We start from the raw sequence: 15666 nt of genomic DNA, 5'->3' as shown, positions 1-15666 counted from the left end.
ATCCTTGCCAACATTTGGCATTATCATTCTTTTCAATTAAAAAAAGTTCCCATCTAACCCATATTTGCACCAAATAACATTTATACAATTACAAATTGTATTCTAAAACACCCCCTTACCAGTCTTTGGGGGTGGCAAACATTTTGTCTACTCAATTATTCATTCATTCATTGTCATGGAGACTATAGCTGACCACAAAAGTGGTGCTAAGGGCCAGGTGTGGTGGCTTACACCTGTAATCCCAGGACATTGGGAGGCCAAGGTGGGCAGATCACCTGAGGTCAGGAGTTCGAGACCAGCCTGGCCAACATGGTGAAACTCCGTCTCTACTAAAAATACAAAAATTAGCCGGGTGTGGTAGTGGGTGCCTGTAATCCCAGCTACTTGGGAGGCTGAGGCAGGAGAATTGCTTGAACCTGGGAGACGGAGGCTGCAGACAGCCGAGATCGTACCACTGTACTCCAGCCTGGGGGACAAAGCAAAACTCCTCAAAAAAAAACAAAAACAAAAACAAAAACAAAAACAAAAGACTGGTGCTAAATGCTCCATCGTAGGAGTCCAACTAGAGTTCAAACCTGGCACTGCTGTTATCAACTGGGTAATGTTGTACAAAGAGGTGACTTGATTGTCACCTCTTTGAGTCTCAGTTTCCTCATCTGTCAAGTCGGAATAATACTACTACTTACCTCAGTGGGTCATTTTGAGAATGAAATATAAGTAAAGTGCTTAGGTTTGCTATATATAGATGGTCAATTTCATTAGTACAGCCTAATCATTAAGATTTCAAACTGCTGCTTAGGCACTGATTCAAGTATAATTTGGAAATCACCTTTGTCACTCTGCCTTGTTCCAAAGATAAAAGAAGGAGCATATGACTTTAAAAAGGAGACATTGCCCTGTGGGTAGTGGACCCTTTTCAACATGGAATAAAAGGAACTCTGAAATGAGGGTGGACTTTGCTGTGACTGAAGTCTGGAGAACCAAGTGAGTCCTGGGGCAGGAGGCCAATTCTAGATCAGGAGTAACAAGGCCCAGATTCTAGTGCTCCTTCCACCTCTAGACGTGTAGCCTTGAGCAAGCCATTTGATGTCTCTGATTCTCTCATTTGGTCAACAAACATAATAATGGGCACATACTGGGTAATGAGTCTTGAGTGTTAGGGAACACAACAGAGAATGAGGGAGCCGAAATCCCTGGCCTCATGGCATTTTCCACTTACTGGAGGGCATTGGACAAATGGTTGCACCAATAAGGGCAGGTTGGAATTTTGCAACAAGCACTATCAAGGGGTGGGGCTCCATGCAGGGGCTTTGACAGGTTAACAGGGGAAGGTAGGGAAGCCTCCCCAGAACAGGTAATATCTTTTTTTTTTTTTTTTTTTTTTTTTGGAGACAGATTCTCACTCTGTTGCCCAGGCTGGAGTGCAGAGGCGCAATCTCAGCTCACTGTGACCTCCGCCTCCCAGGTTCAAGTGATTCTCCTGCCTCAGCCTCCCGAGTAGCTGGGATTACAGGTGCCTGACACCACACCTGGCTAGTTTTTGTATTTTTAGTAGAGACAGGGTTTCACCATGTTGGCCAGACTGGTCTCGAACTCCTGACCTCAGGTAATCCACCGACCTCAGCCTCCCAAAGTGCTGGGATTACAGGCATGAGAAACCGTGCCCTGCCAATAAATTCTTATTGTTTCAAGCCTTTAAGCTTCGGGGTAGTTTATTATGCAATCTTGATAACCAATACAATACACAAAAGCCTCAAGGAAAGTAGGTGCTTTGTGTGTCTGAAGAACCCCATTGTGTCTAGCAGAGGAGGGAGACCCAAGGTGAGGTCCATGAAATTGGCCAGGCCACTCAGGACCTTGCAGGCCTCTGTGAGGAGCATAGGTTTTATTCTAACATACATGGGACGCTATTGGATGGTTATAAACAGGGGAGTGGCATGATAATTCATTCACTCAACAAATATTTATGGAGCACCTACTATGTGCCATGTGCTATTATTGATGCTGAGGATACAGTAATAAACAAAATTAATTCCTTCCTATGTGCTTAGAATTTACATTATTGAGGGGAAGATGGATAATAAACAGATACTGAAAACTCATCCCATGTTTGGGAATGATATGGGTTATAAGAAAACTAGGGAGGTCAAGGGGAGAGGTAGTGGGATGGAGAGGAGCGATGGTGTAACTTGAGACAGGGTGGTCAGAGAAGGCTTCTCTGAGGAGGTGGCATGTGAGCAAGACCTTTTGAATTGGAGAGATAAGTCATGTGATAATCTGGAGGAATTGTGTTCCAAGCAGAAGCACCAGTAACAGCAAAGGTCCTGAGAGGCAACAGCACGTGGTGTGTTTAGGGAATACAAAGAGCCCATTGTGGCTGGAACACAGAGGGTGCAGACAAGAGTGGTGGAGACAGTGTTGGAGAGGTAGTAAGTGGGGTCATATTGTGAAGGCCACAGACATCTTGGTATCGATATTAAATTTTAATTGACACAAGATGGGAGCTGTTGGAGGGTTTTGTTTGTTTGTTTTGAGACAGAGTCTCACTCTGTCGCCCAGGGTGTACAGTGGCACGATCTCGGCTCACTGCAACCTCCACCGCCTAGGTTTAAGTGATTCTCCTGCCTCAGCCTCCCAGGTATCTGGGACTACAGGCGCCCGCCACCACGCTTGGCTAATTTTTGTATTTTTACTAGAGATGGGGTTTTGCCATGTTAGCCAGGCTGGTCTCGAACTCCTGACCTCAGGTGGTCCACCTGCCTCAGCCTCCCAAAAGTGCTGGGATTACAGGTGTGAACCACTGTGCCCAGCCCTGTTGGAGGGTTTTGAACAGAGGAGTGAGCCAAACTGGCTTATCTTTTCACAGGATCTGTCTGGCTGCTGGGTAGAGAATGAATTGGAGGGGCAAAGGGAAAGGAGGGAAACCAGTGAGCAGGGAGAGAGTCATCCAAGGGCAAGATGATGGGAGCTTGGGTCAGAGTGGTAGCAGCTGACGACTAAAGGAGCTCAGAGAGAGAAAACATCAGAATGCCTAAAAGAATTCATAGTATGTACAGGAGAATCATCGCAGCACTTCTTTTACTAGGAAAAGACAGAAAATAACCTAAATGCCCATGATTTGGGACGTGGGAAAATAAATCTTAATAAAATAATTGAATACTAAGCAGTTGTCAAAAATAATAAGGATATATAACAACCAACTGTACCTGGGCACGGTGGTGAAACCCTGTCTTTACTAAAAGTACAAAAATTAGCTGGGTGTGGTGGCGGGCGCCTGTAATCCCAGCTACTCAGGAGGCTGAGGCAGGAGAATCACTTGAACCCGGGAGGTGGAGGTTGCAGTGAGCCGAGATTGCGCCATTGCACTCCAGCCTGGGCCACAAGAGCGAAACACTGTATTTAAAAAAAAATGTATCTCTATACACTAGTAATAAACAATCTGAACATGAAATTAAGAAAACAATTTTATTTATAATATCACCAGAAGAATAAAATACTTAGGAATAAATTTAACAAAAGTAGTACAATATACTCTGAAAGCAAGAAAACATCCTTGAAAGAAACTTAAGACCTAAATAAAATCATCCCATGGGTTGAGAGAGACATCTCATGTTCATGGATTGGAAAACTTAATAGTGTTGATGATAGTACTCCCCAAACTGATCAATACTATCCCTATCAAAACCCCAGTTGCCTTTTTTTTGGGGGGGGGTGGCAGGAATAAACAAGTTGGTCCTAAAATTCATATGGAAATGCAAGGGACCTAGAACAGCCAAAATAATCTTGAAAAGAACAACAAAGTTGCAGAACTAACACTTCCTGATTTCCAAAACTTACTACAAAGTTACAGTAATCAAGACAGTGTGGTATTGGCATAAGAATAGAAATATAGGTCAATGGGACAGAATTGAGAGTTGAGAAATGAACCCTCACATTTAAGGCCAATTGATTTTCAAAAAGAGTGCCAAAACAATTCAATAATGGAAGAAAACAGTATTTTCAACAAATGGTGCTAGAACAACTCAATATTCACGTGCAAAAGAATGAAGTTGGATCCCAAAATGGATCGTAGATCTAAGTGTATGAACAAAAACTATAAAACTCTTTGTGTGTGTGTGTGTGTGTGTGTGTGTGTGTGTGTGTGTGATGGGGTTTCACTTTGTCACCCAGTTGGAGTGCAGTGGCGCGATCTTGGCCACTACAACCTCCACTTCCCAGGCTCAAGTGATCCTCCCACCTCAGCCTCCTGAGCAGTTGGGATCACAGGCGCACACCACCACTCCGGCTAATTTTTTGTATTTTTGGTAGAGAAGGGGTTTCGCTATGTTACCCATGCTGTAAAACTCTTAGAAGAAAACACAGAAGTAAATTTTCATGACCTTGGGCTAGGCAAATTCTTCTTAGATGTGATACAAGTGACAAAAGGAAAAAATAGATAAATTGGACTTCACTGAAATTGAAAACTTGTGCTGCAAGTGATACTATCCTGAAAATGTAAAGACAACCCACAGAATGGGAGGAAATATTTGCAAATCACAGATCTGAAAAGGGACTGGGGTCCTGAATATATACATAGGATGGCTCAATAATTTAAAAATCCACAACTTAAAAGTGGGCAAGAGATCTGAATAGATAGTTCTCCAAAGAAGCTATACAAATGGCCAATAAGCACATGGAAAGGTGCTTAATATCATTAGTTATTAGAGAAATGCAAATCAATTCCACAATGAGATTCCACTTCACATCCATTAGAACTGCTATAATTTAAAAAGACAGATAATAACAATTGTTGCTGAGAATATGGAGAGATTCCACCTCATACAATGATGGTGGAAATGTAAAAGGAGCAGCTGCTTTGGGAAACAGTCTGGCAGTTCATCAAAAAGTTACACATAGAATTACCTTATGACCCAGCAATCCCACGCCCAGGTATATACCCAAGAAATCTGAAAATATATGTCTACACAAAGATCTGTACATAAAATCTTCATACCAGCATTATTCATAACAGCCAAACAGTGGAAACAACTTCAATGTCCCTCAATGGATAAATGTGGCATATCCACCCAATGAAATATTATTTGGCAATAAAGAGGTATGAAGTACTGATACAGGCTATGATATGGACGGACCTTGAAAACATTATGCTAAATGAAAACAGCTGATCATAAAATACCACATATTATAAAATTCAATTTATATGAAAGGTCCAGAACAGGCAAATCTATAGAAACAGAAAAGAGGTTGGGCACAGTGGCATATGCCTGTAGTCCCAGCCACTCTGGAGGCTGAGGTAGGAGGATCACTTGAACCCAGGAGTTCAAGACCAGCTTGGGCATCATGCTGAGACCTCCATCTCTACTTAAAAGAAAAAGAAAGGAGATTATTGGTTGCATTGGGCTGGGAGCTGAGGAGAAATAAGAAGTGACTGCTAATAGGTACAGGGTGGTTTTGGTGGGTGGGTAATGAAAATGTTCTAAAATTGATTGTGGTGACAGTTGCACAACATTTGAACATACTAAAAACCATTGCATTGTAAAAGTTAAACAGGTGAATTGTATAGTACGTAAATTTATAATTCAATAAAAATGCTTTTTACAAAAGAAGGAGGAAGCCCCTTATGTACTAATAGAGAACAATGCAAAAATATAGCTGTAAATAGGGAAGAAATTGAGGCGTCCAACAGCTTCTATTGTATTTCACTATTTGTGCAGAATAATAGAACAAACACACTAGCATATGGCTGGGCCAAGTGAAGAAGGGCACACATAGCAAACAGCCCCAGTGGTTTCTTCCAGGGAGGGGAACTGCATAGTATCTTTTGTACTCTTGAATGTTGAACTATTTAAATGTATTAGCTATACAAAATCAAGTAAAGTCAACTGAAAATACAATCAGAGACTTCATGGATGAGATAGAATTGATGCTGGCTGGGATTTTTAGAGGATGAAAAGTCAAGAAAGGTGTTCTGAGTGTGCACTTGACTCTGGGGCCAGGGGTGGAAGAGCGTGGGAGCAAAGGCACAGAGGCTGGACTGACCGCCTCTCGCTAGCTGTGACTTTGGGCAGGTTCTCTCTGCCCGTTTCCTCCCCTGCATAGTAGAATAAGAGTACCTCCTGCACCAGGTGGTTGCCCTCACTTACATTATCTCATTTTCTGTCTTATAAATAGGGATGACTATAAAAGGGTTGCTCAGACAGGTAAAGGCAATTGCCCAAGGTCACACAGCCAATAAGTGCCAGAGCTGGGATTTGAAGAACCCACATGGACATGCCTCCAGTGTGCCTCTGACAGCTGTGTTTGTAACCGTTACACAAAATGCAGTAATCGTGCCCAGGAAGTTGAGGAGTATAGAGAGAGATGCAGAATGCAGAAAGGGACCCAGGGCTCTGTCCTGGAAGGAGGGCAGGAGCTAGAACACAATGTAAGCTTCGCTTTACAGTGGGTCAGAGGTTGGCTCTTTCAAAAATGTATTTTCCTATTTCCAGAGGGCATTTGCATTTCATATTTCAAATTCTTTGGGATCACTGTTGATTGTTCTATATTCAAAACATGTTGAAGGATGGGAAAGAGAGCCACAATCATTATTTCAGAGCTCAACCATTTCCCCTTTTATTTGTAAAGTAGCCAGCGTTTATTTCATAGCTACACCCTCCCAGGCAGGAGCTCACTGCTCCCCACCTTTCCCAAAAAGGTCAAATGAAAATCAGAGGAGACTAACCCTTGAGAAACGCCCAACAGCCCCTAGGGGGTCCCTGACCCCCTTAGAAAGCTCCTCCCTCCTCCAGTCTTCTTTAACTCCCACTCGGCCTTATTTTTCTCCAGAGAATTTGTCGCCACCAGGCACTATGTTACATATTTGTATGTTCACCTGTTGATTCTCTGTCTCCTCTACTATATTGCAAATTCCGTGCAGATACTATTCACATGCCCATTTTACAGAGGAAGAAACTGAAGCTCAGAGTTTAGGAACAGCCAGTGAGTGATAGTGACAGTGCTGGCATCTAAACCCTTCGTTCTTTGATTAATTCCATTAATACGATTAAGGGCCTACCATGTGCATTTCTGCCAAGGTCTGGGAGCACAAAAATGGATGAGAGCGTTTTGGCCCTCAAGCAACTTTCAATCCAATTATGGAGACAATCATTTAACCAATAACTTAGATACAGAGTGGAAAATGCTGCTAGAGAGAGAGAGAGAGATAGGCCCATGATATTGTAGGACCAAGTAGGAAGGACACTGAGTGCAGCAAGGACTTCTTGAAAAAGGTGATATGGGCCAGGCACAGTGGCTCATGCCTGTAATCCCAGCACTTTGGGAGGCCGAAGTGGGTGGATCACCTGACATCAGGAGTTAGAGACTAGCCTGGACAACATGGCGAAATCCTGTCTCTACTAAAAATTAGCCAGGCGTGATGGCGGGCACCTGTAATCCCAGTTACTCGGGAAGCTGAGGCAGGAGAATTGCTTGAATCCTGCAGGCAGAGGTTGCAGTGAGCTGAGATCGCGCCACTGCACTCCAGACTGGGCAATGGAGTGAGACCTGCCTTAAAAAAAAAAAAAAGTGACATGAGTTGAGGCTTAATGGATGCCAGAGGAAGATCAGGGCAAAGGGTGTTCCAGACAGAAGGGACAACCTGACAAAGGCTTGAGAGGGAAACAGTCTGACCTGTTTGAGGAACTGCAAACATTTCCATGTTGTTGGTGCCTGAAGCCCCAGGCAGATACCATATTTGGAAGAGGAGGCTGGAAGTGGCGGCAGCAGCTGATAGGCACTGGGGCCAGCTCATGTAGGACTCGGGCAAGACTGTACAAGGCTGGCCTATGGATGCCTTCCAAGCTTACCTACCCCAAGTACCATCCTAGAGGCAGCAGACCTCCTGCTCAGGGGCGGGGTGAGACTGGGTGGGGACGGGGGTGGGGCGGGGGCAGTGCTGGGGGAGTCCATGAAATTGTTTTTCTGCCCCCAGCTGCATGGCCACCCCCAGCTGACGGGTCCCCCCAGGGGGGTTGGGGGACTGTTCAGTTTCACAACACCCCCTTCTCTTCCCCCAGTGTCTCTGGAGGCTAAGAAAAGAGGAAGCGCTTTGTGGACTTCCTCCTGGGTCCGGTGCACCCAAGCCCAGGCTGGTCTTCTCCCAGGGGCAGGGCTGGACCTGCCCACTGTATTCTGCAGAAAAAAAGGGCCTGGGCGTGGCCCTGCCCCTCATTCAGTGGTGGACATGCTCAAGCAGGGTGCGCCCAGGCCTGGGACTAGGAGAGTAGGTTGGAGTCCCAGCTCTTCTAACTTGCTGTGTGTGTCTGACAAACTCTTCTCTGAGCCTGAATCTCAAAGAGGAAGACACATCCTTACTCAGCAATTTGAAACTGGGGTGATGTGCATGAATTAACATGGAGAGATCCCCAAGACATTCTTTCAGAATCGCAGAGTACATTCCTTTTTAAAATAATAACATGGTTTTGTGTTTACCTCTACATGTATGTAAATGCGTAGATAAAAGTCTGGAAGCTAAACAGCCAACAAGAAGCAGAGGTTGTCACTGAAGAGGAAAGGAACATTGGAATTGGTGGTGGGGAAGTGTTTTTCTATGTTTTTTTTTTTCTTTCTTTCTTTTTACTTTAAATTCTGGGATACATTTGCAGAACGTGCAGGTTTGTTGCATAGGTATACATGTGCCGTGGTGGTTTGCTGCACCCATCAACCTGTCATCTAGGTTTTAAGCCCCACATGCATTAGGTATTTGTCCTAATGCTCTCCCTCCCCTTTCCCCCCATCCCCCAACAGGCCCTGGTGTGTGATGTTTCTCTCGCTGTTTTTTTCTTTCTTAACTAGAATGCATTGTTTTTATTTATGGAACTAAAATAATGATAATAAATGAGGGAATTGGAATATATGGTTATCAAGTGTTGCTCCTTCTGAACATTTTATTATGAAAATGTCCAAATACACAGCAAAATTTAAAGACTTTGGCGACAAAATACCTACTCTCACCACTTACATTCTACCATTGACATTTTACTTGCTTTAACCATGTTTGTTCATCTATCTGTCTATCAATTCATCTTTTAAGATGCATTTTAAAGAAATTACCTCAACACACATATTATTAACTGGAGTTCAATTTCAATATTTGTTTACAGTAATTTTCTTTTAATGTAAATTTACAGGCAAAGGGCAAAAGATTACGTGTTCATTTGCTGAGTTTTTACAAATGCATATATATTTATGTAACTTAAACCCCATTAGGAGATACATTTTTATCACTCTAGAAAGTTCCCTCTTGTCCTACTATATATATATATATATACACACACACATTTTTGTTTTTGAGAGCAGGTCTCGCTATGCTGCCCAGGCTGGCCTTGAACTCCTGATTTCAGGTGATCCTCCCACCCCAGCCTCCCAAGTAGCTGGGACTACAGGCCTCTATGGTGTATTTTAATTGCTGACATCCTATGGGTCAACACTAAGCACAGAGCCAGGTATATAGTAAATGCTCAATAATGTTGGTTGAAGTAAGGAATGAGTCTAGGAATGAATGTGCAGGTGGCTTGCTCCCCTAAGGGCAGGACCATGTCTTCTTCTTTTGCAATCACCATGGAATTGATACACATCAAATGCTTAATAAAGGCTTATTGATTGTGCCTGGGCAGGGTGGCTCACACCTGTAATCCTAGCACTTTGGGAGTCTGAGGTGGGAGGATTGCTTGAGCCCAGGAGTTTGAGACCGACCTACACAACAAAGTGAGACCCCATCTGTACAAAAATAATAATAATAATTTAAAAATTAGCCAAGCATGGTGATGCATGCCTATTGTCCCATCTACATGGGTGGCTAAGGCAGGAGGATTGCTTGAGCCCAGGAGGTCGAGGTAACAGTGAGTTGTGTTCACCCCATTGCACTCCAGCCTGGATGACAGCACGAGATGGTCTCAAAAACAAAAACAAAACAACAACAATGACAAAAAAACAAAACAACAACAAACAAAAACAAAAACAAACCTTTGGTGATTGTATTAGTTATATACTGCCGTGTAACAGATTACCCAAAATTTAGCAACTTAAAACTGTGTAATTATACAGAAGAAGCAGGATTGAGATTTAAAAAATTGTAACTATTAAAAAAAATAAAGACAGGGTCTCACTATGTCGCCCAGGCTGGTCGGGAACTCCTGGCCTCAGGCAATCCTCCCACCTTAGCCTCGCAAACTGCTGGGATTACAAGTGTGAGCCACTGCACCTGGCCAACATTTATTATCTCACACAGTTTCTGTAGGTCAGAAATGTGGAACTAACTTAGCTTAGTGGTTTTGGCTTGGGATCTCTTATGAGGCTGCAGTCAACGCCTGATGAGAAGTCATCTGAAGGCTGGACTGGGGCTGGGGGATCTGTTTCCAAGATAGTTCACTCATATGATTGTTGGCAGGAGGCTCTGTGCTTGGTGCTGTGCTGAGCTCCAGGGAATGTAGGAATGAGTCAGAACCAGCCTCCCTTTCCAAGATTCTGTGTGTGTGTGTGTGTGTGCGTGTGTGTGTGTGTGTGCATGTGTGTGTGTGTGTGTAAGCGTGAGTGTTGAGAGTAGGCGTGGGGTTGGAGGGGTCAGACAGATATGGAAACAGATAGTGTCTATAGAGTTCAGTAAATACCACAATACTGGAATAGTGGTTTTTGAAAAAATTGCTCTGCTGTAATTCATATTCATGACATAACATTTAGGACACATCATGCAGAGAAAGTCTCCTTCCCTCTTTATTCTATAGCCACACACTCCTCCAGCTCAGAAGCACAACTATAACTTGTTTTGTGTACCTTCCAGAACTATTCTATACTTAAAAGACATTTCCCGCCTCCTTAAACAAAAATACAGCACTATTCAAAGTGCATTGTTCTGTACTTTGCTTTTTTTTTTTTTTTTCACTTACTCTATCTTGGAAATAATTCTGTATCGGTGCACAGAGCTACCTAGTTCTTATTTATGGCTGCATGGTATTTTATTGCCTGCATGAGCCACAGTTCATTTAACCAGACCCCTATCACTGAACATTTGGTTTATTTCCAAACTCTTGTTATTAGAGACAAAGCTGCAATGACTTTCCTTGCACATTGGTTTCCACTCGTGTGGGTATAAATGCCGGAGAAATTCTTGGCAGTGGAATTGTTGCATCAAAGGGCTCCTGCATCCTGGTAGATATTGCTCAGTAGGGTTTATACCAACTTGCTCTCCCACCAGGAATGTGTGAGAGTGTCTGTTTCCTCACACCTACACCCACATAGTGAGTGATCACACTTTTCCAAACTTTGCCAATCTCTTAATTGAAAAATGGTTGCTCGGTGTTGTGTTAATTTGCATTTATCTTATGAGTGAGGTTGAACATCTTGTCACACGTTTTAGAGTCGTTTGTATTTTCTGTGAACTGTCTGTATAAATAATTTGCCTATTTTTCTATTAGGCTGTTGGTCTTATTTACTTGTAGGTCTTTACACATCAAACGCACTCCCCCTTTGTCTGCATGATAGGCTTTGAAAATATTTTTTTTGAGAACAGTCTGCTTTTAGATATAAATGAGAAGTTGAGAAGTTTCTGCAGATTGCATCATTTTCTGCACGTTGCTGCAGGGCTGCCCAGTGGCTGAGGCATCAGGGATACCGTGTAGGGCTCTTAAAGGTGATGTTAGAAGCCAGGTGGGGGGCCCTGGGGACGGCGGGCAGGGAGTGGGGGGACAAGGAGGTGGATGTTAGCTCTTGCATTGGATAGAAGGGGCTGCCATAGGAGACAGTGAACTCCCCAAGGTAGGAAGTGGGCAGAACAGGCTGGCCTGGCTTTAAGACCCCTCTGCCCCTGCTCTGAAATACCTGAGGATAAGCAACAAGTCAAGTGGGAGGACCCACCAAGAGGGCCATCAATTTCTGGCCATTTAGACCTGATTGGGTCGTTACTGCATCTGGAAGCTCCTAGTAACATTTAATAGTAATATAAACTCCTAGAATGTAAACTCCAAGAGGCCAGGGTTTAAATGCTAAATAAATGGTTGTGGAATGAATGAATGAATGAACGAATGAATTTGGTCAAAGAATGTGAGGGGCTACTATTTCTGAGTGGGGGTGGGGGTAGGCAGAGTTCTCTTTCTCTTCTTTCCTCTTTGAACCTACTCTCTCCTCTTCCTTCCTCTTACCCCAGCTCAGTCAGGTCTTACCATCTCTCATGTGGTCCTGGTTCCAGCCTCCTCCCCACTTCCCTGCTTCCAGACGCTCCTCTGTTTTCCTATTGATCCTCCTCTCCAGCAGCTTGATTCGCTTCAAGAAAATGCAGGTCCCCTGGCTTGTTCCCAGGTGGGGCACCTTTGTTCACGCCTGTAATCTCAGCACTTTGGGAGGCTCAGGCGGGTGGATCCCTTGAGCTCAGGAGTTCAAGACCATCCTGGGCAACATAAAGAGAGCACGTCTCTACAAAAAAAATTTAGAAATAGCCAGGCCTGGTGGCGCACACCTGTAATTCTGCTACTTTGAAGGCTGAGAATGGCTTGAGCCCAGGAGCTGGAGGCTGCAGTGAGCTTTGATTGTTCCACTGCACTCCAGCTGGGTGACAGAGTGAGAACCCGCCTCAAACAACGATAACAAAAACAACAATAACAACAACAAACATTAGATAGCCTCCCATTGCCTATGCTTCCTAGCCTGCCCTTCAAGGGCTTCTAATCTATCCACTTCTCTGGTTTCCTCTCCTGCAACTCCTACCCACCCACCTCGTCCCCCACCTCACACACTCCGTGTTCCTCCAGCTATCACAATGGTCACTAATTGAGCACTTTCTACATATACTTTTACGTGAAATATCTTAAGACTCATGACAATCTATGGGATCTACGAGGGTGAGGCTATTATCAACCCCACTTTACAGATGAGGAAACCAAGACCCAGGGACATTTTAGGGGCTTTCCCAAGGTCACCGAACAAGCAGATGGCAGAGCTCGGATTAAAAACCCTCCGACCCTCTGGCCAGGGAGCCTAAGTGCTGCACGAGTGCTAACCGGTTGCCAGTCCTAGAGCACGCCATGCTCCTTCAAGCTCCCCTGCCTTTGCTTGTGCTGGGTCCCCATCTGGAGGGCTCTCTCTTCTATTGTTCACCCACCAAAAACCTTGTCCTTCAAGCTCTCGCTCATGGCTCACCTCCCCTGTGAAACCTTTTCCAGCTTCCCCAGAAAGAGCTGGTGTCTCACTCTTTGACTTTACAATTGAGAACTTTGTGCTATGATTATCTGGGAACTGTTTTCCCCATCAGTGTGCCCCTCAGTGGGCAGACTGTGCTGTATCTCCCTCTAGTGTCTTGTGCAATGCCTGGCACAGAGCAAGTGCCCTCTAAATGCTTGGCGGCTGAATGACAGTGGCCCCAGGACTCCTGCTCCTGAGCACATAGTTGGGAAGGACTGCTGGGAGCTGCCAGTGGAAGTGGGGAGTGGGTAGGAAGTTTCAGGGCCCCACCTTGGGAGAGGCGTCCATCTACGGCAGCTGGAGACAATTTTACCACTCACGTTTGGGCCAAGACCGTCCCCAGGGGATCCAGCTGGTGGGGAAGTTCCATACTTGCACTACCCCTAGAAGTCCTTGGGAACCAGCTATCCCACCCCTAGGGGGTTTTCCCCTCTTGTGATGTCAGGAACTGAACCAACAAGGGAAGCAATTCCTGGCAGGGTCTCTGGATGCTACAGGAGGAAGTGTGGCCAGAGTCTCCAGACTCAGTGCCTGGGTTGCCCCAGACAGTGCCCTTTGGACCCCAGGAACTAAGGGGTTACATGGCTTTGGTAAGAGGGTAGTTCCGGAGCGGGTGGGGACTTCCTTGGGGTGTGAGGGAAATTACCCCATCCCTGGAGCTGTGGGGTAAGAACTGTCTGTCCCAGTGCCTCTCAGCAGCCCTGTCACTGTGCTGTGGCTAGGATTTTCGGCAGTTTTTGAGCTTTTCTTGGAAAGCCCCAAGGCCTTTAAGAGAGACTCCTATATCTTTGGCCCCTGTCCCTACCCAACCAACTGTTCCCTCTCCGGCTGCCTTGCTCAGGAACTTACTAAGGCTCCCTGTAGCCTCAGGTCGGAATGCCTCAGGCTACGGCCACTACATCCCAAAGTCTCAGAGACAGGACAGTAGAGAGGCTAGGGACATGGGCTCTGGGTTAGCCAGACATGAGTCCAAAGCCCAGCTCACTGTGTGACCTTGGGGTATTCACTTCACCTCTTGAACTCCAGTTCCTTCATCCAGAAAATGAAAATAAATAAAATCGACAACCTCAAAATTAAGGAATTTGCTCAATAGAACAAGTTTGCCCAATGGAAGCCATCACAAATCAGTTGTTCTCAGAGCGGTCCCTGGACCATCAGCATCACCTGGGTACTTGTTAGAAATGCAAATTATTGGCCAGGCACGATGGCTCATGCCTGTAATCCCAGCACTTTGGATGGCCGAGGAGGGCAGATACCTGAGGTCAGGAGTTTGAGACCAGCCTGGCCAACATGGTGAAACCCAATCTCTACTAAAAATACAAAAATTAGACAGGCATGGTGGCGCATGCCTGTAATCCCAGCTACTCAGCAGGCTGAGGCACAGAGGTTGCAGTGAGCTGAGATTGCGTCACTGCACACCAGCCTGGGTGACAGAGCAAGACTCTGTCCCCCCAAAAAAGAAAAAGCAAATTTTCAGGCCCTTCCCCTTCTCTTATGGAGAATCTCTAGGAGTGGGGCTCAGACATCTGTGTTTTAGCAAGCCTTCCAGGACATTCTGATGCCTGCTGAAGTTTGAGTACTGTCACAGATAAACTTGACAGAAGGCAAATATATTAGGTGAATATACCTGGAACATCAACATCCAAAAGGGATTAATATCTAAAATTTATAAACTACTCTTGCAAATCAATGAGAAAAAGACAGGAAGCCCAGTAGGAAATGAACAAAAGATATGAACAAGGAAGTCACAGAAAGGAAAGCTCAAATGGCTGACTAGTATAGAAGGAAGTTATAAATTTCAGGATTAACAGAGAAATGCAAATTAAAACAACTTGCCACCTTACACCCACACTGAATGCAAAGTTACAAAATCAGATGATGAAAAATCTGATGAAGATGTCGGGAAACAGCATCCTTCACTCACCGTTGGTGAAAGCCATTCTGGAAGAAGTTAATGAAATTCAAAACCTGCCCTGTGATCTAGTAATTCCACTCTTGGATTTAGAGCCCAAAGAAATGCTCACATAGGCCCATAAGTTTCATGTACAAAAATGTTCATCAATCACAGTGTTGTTTGTGGTAAGAGGGAGTTGGAAGCAACCTGGGTGTTCATCTCTGGGGAGATGGATAAAGAAAACAGCGGATGCTCAACTCGAAATATTTTGCAGCAGTTGGATGCAACAGTGAGATTTTTCAACAGCACATATGTAGGTATTTAAAACATTATAGGGTGGCTGGGCTTGGTGGTTCATGCCTTTAATCCCAGCACTTTGGGAGGGCGAGGCAGGAGGATCACTTAAGCCCAGGAGTTCTTGCAGTGAGCTGTCACTGCACCATTGCAGTCCAGCCTGGGTGACAGAGCAAAAACCTGTCTCTAAAAATTTTCTTAGTTTTCTTTTTAAATAGAAAAACATTACAGAGTGAGAGAAGGAATAGAGTGAAATTCTTATGTAATAT

At 44.6% G+C, this 15666-nt stretch overlaps 3 annotated features.

Annotated features, from left to right (window-relative positions):
* Nucleotides 7858–8037: a silencer, noted in NCBI's record as "silent region_12773". NCBI's record gives its function as "represses an Ori minimal core promoter by ATAC-STARR-seq in GM12878 lymphoblastoid cells {active_cell/tissue: GM12878}" and the evidence as "EXISTENCE:reporter gene assay evidence [ECO:0000049][PMID:35858748]".
* Nucleotides 10381–10450: an enhancer, noted in NCBI's record as "active region_17706". NCBI's record gives its function as "activates an Ori minimal core promoter by ATAC-STARR-seq in GM12878 lymphoblastoid cells {active_cell/tissue: GM12878}" and the evidence as "EXISTENCE:reporter gene assay evidence [ECO:0000049][PMID:35858748]".
* Nucleotides 13216–13395: an enhancer, noted in NCBI's record as "active region_17705". NCBI's record gives its function as "activates an Ori minimal core promoter by ATAC-STARR-seq in GM12878 lymphoblastoid cells {active_cell/tissue: GM12878}" and the evidence as "EXISTENCE:reporter gene assay evidence [ECO:0000049][PMID:35858748]".

Source organism: Homo sapiens, chromosome 20 (genome assembly GCF_000001405.40).
Source record: "Homo sapiens chromosome 20, GRCh38.p14 Primary Assembly".
NCBI classification, from domain to species: Eukaryota; Metazoa; Chordata; class Mammalia; order Primates; family Hominidae; genus Homo; species Homo sapiens.
Note: the sequence above shows the minus strand (reverse complement) of the source record. Positions and strands in the feature narration are given on the sequence as shown.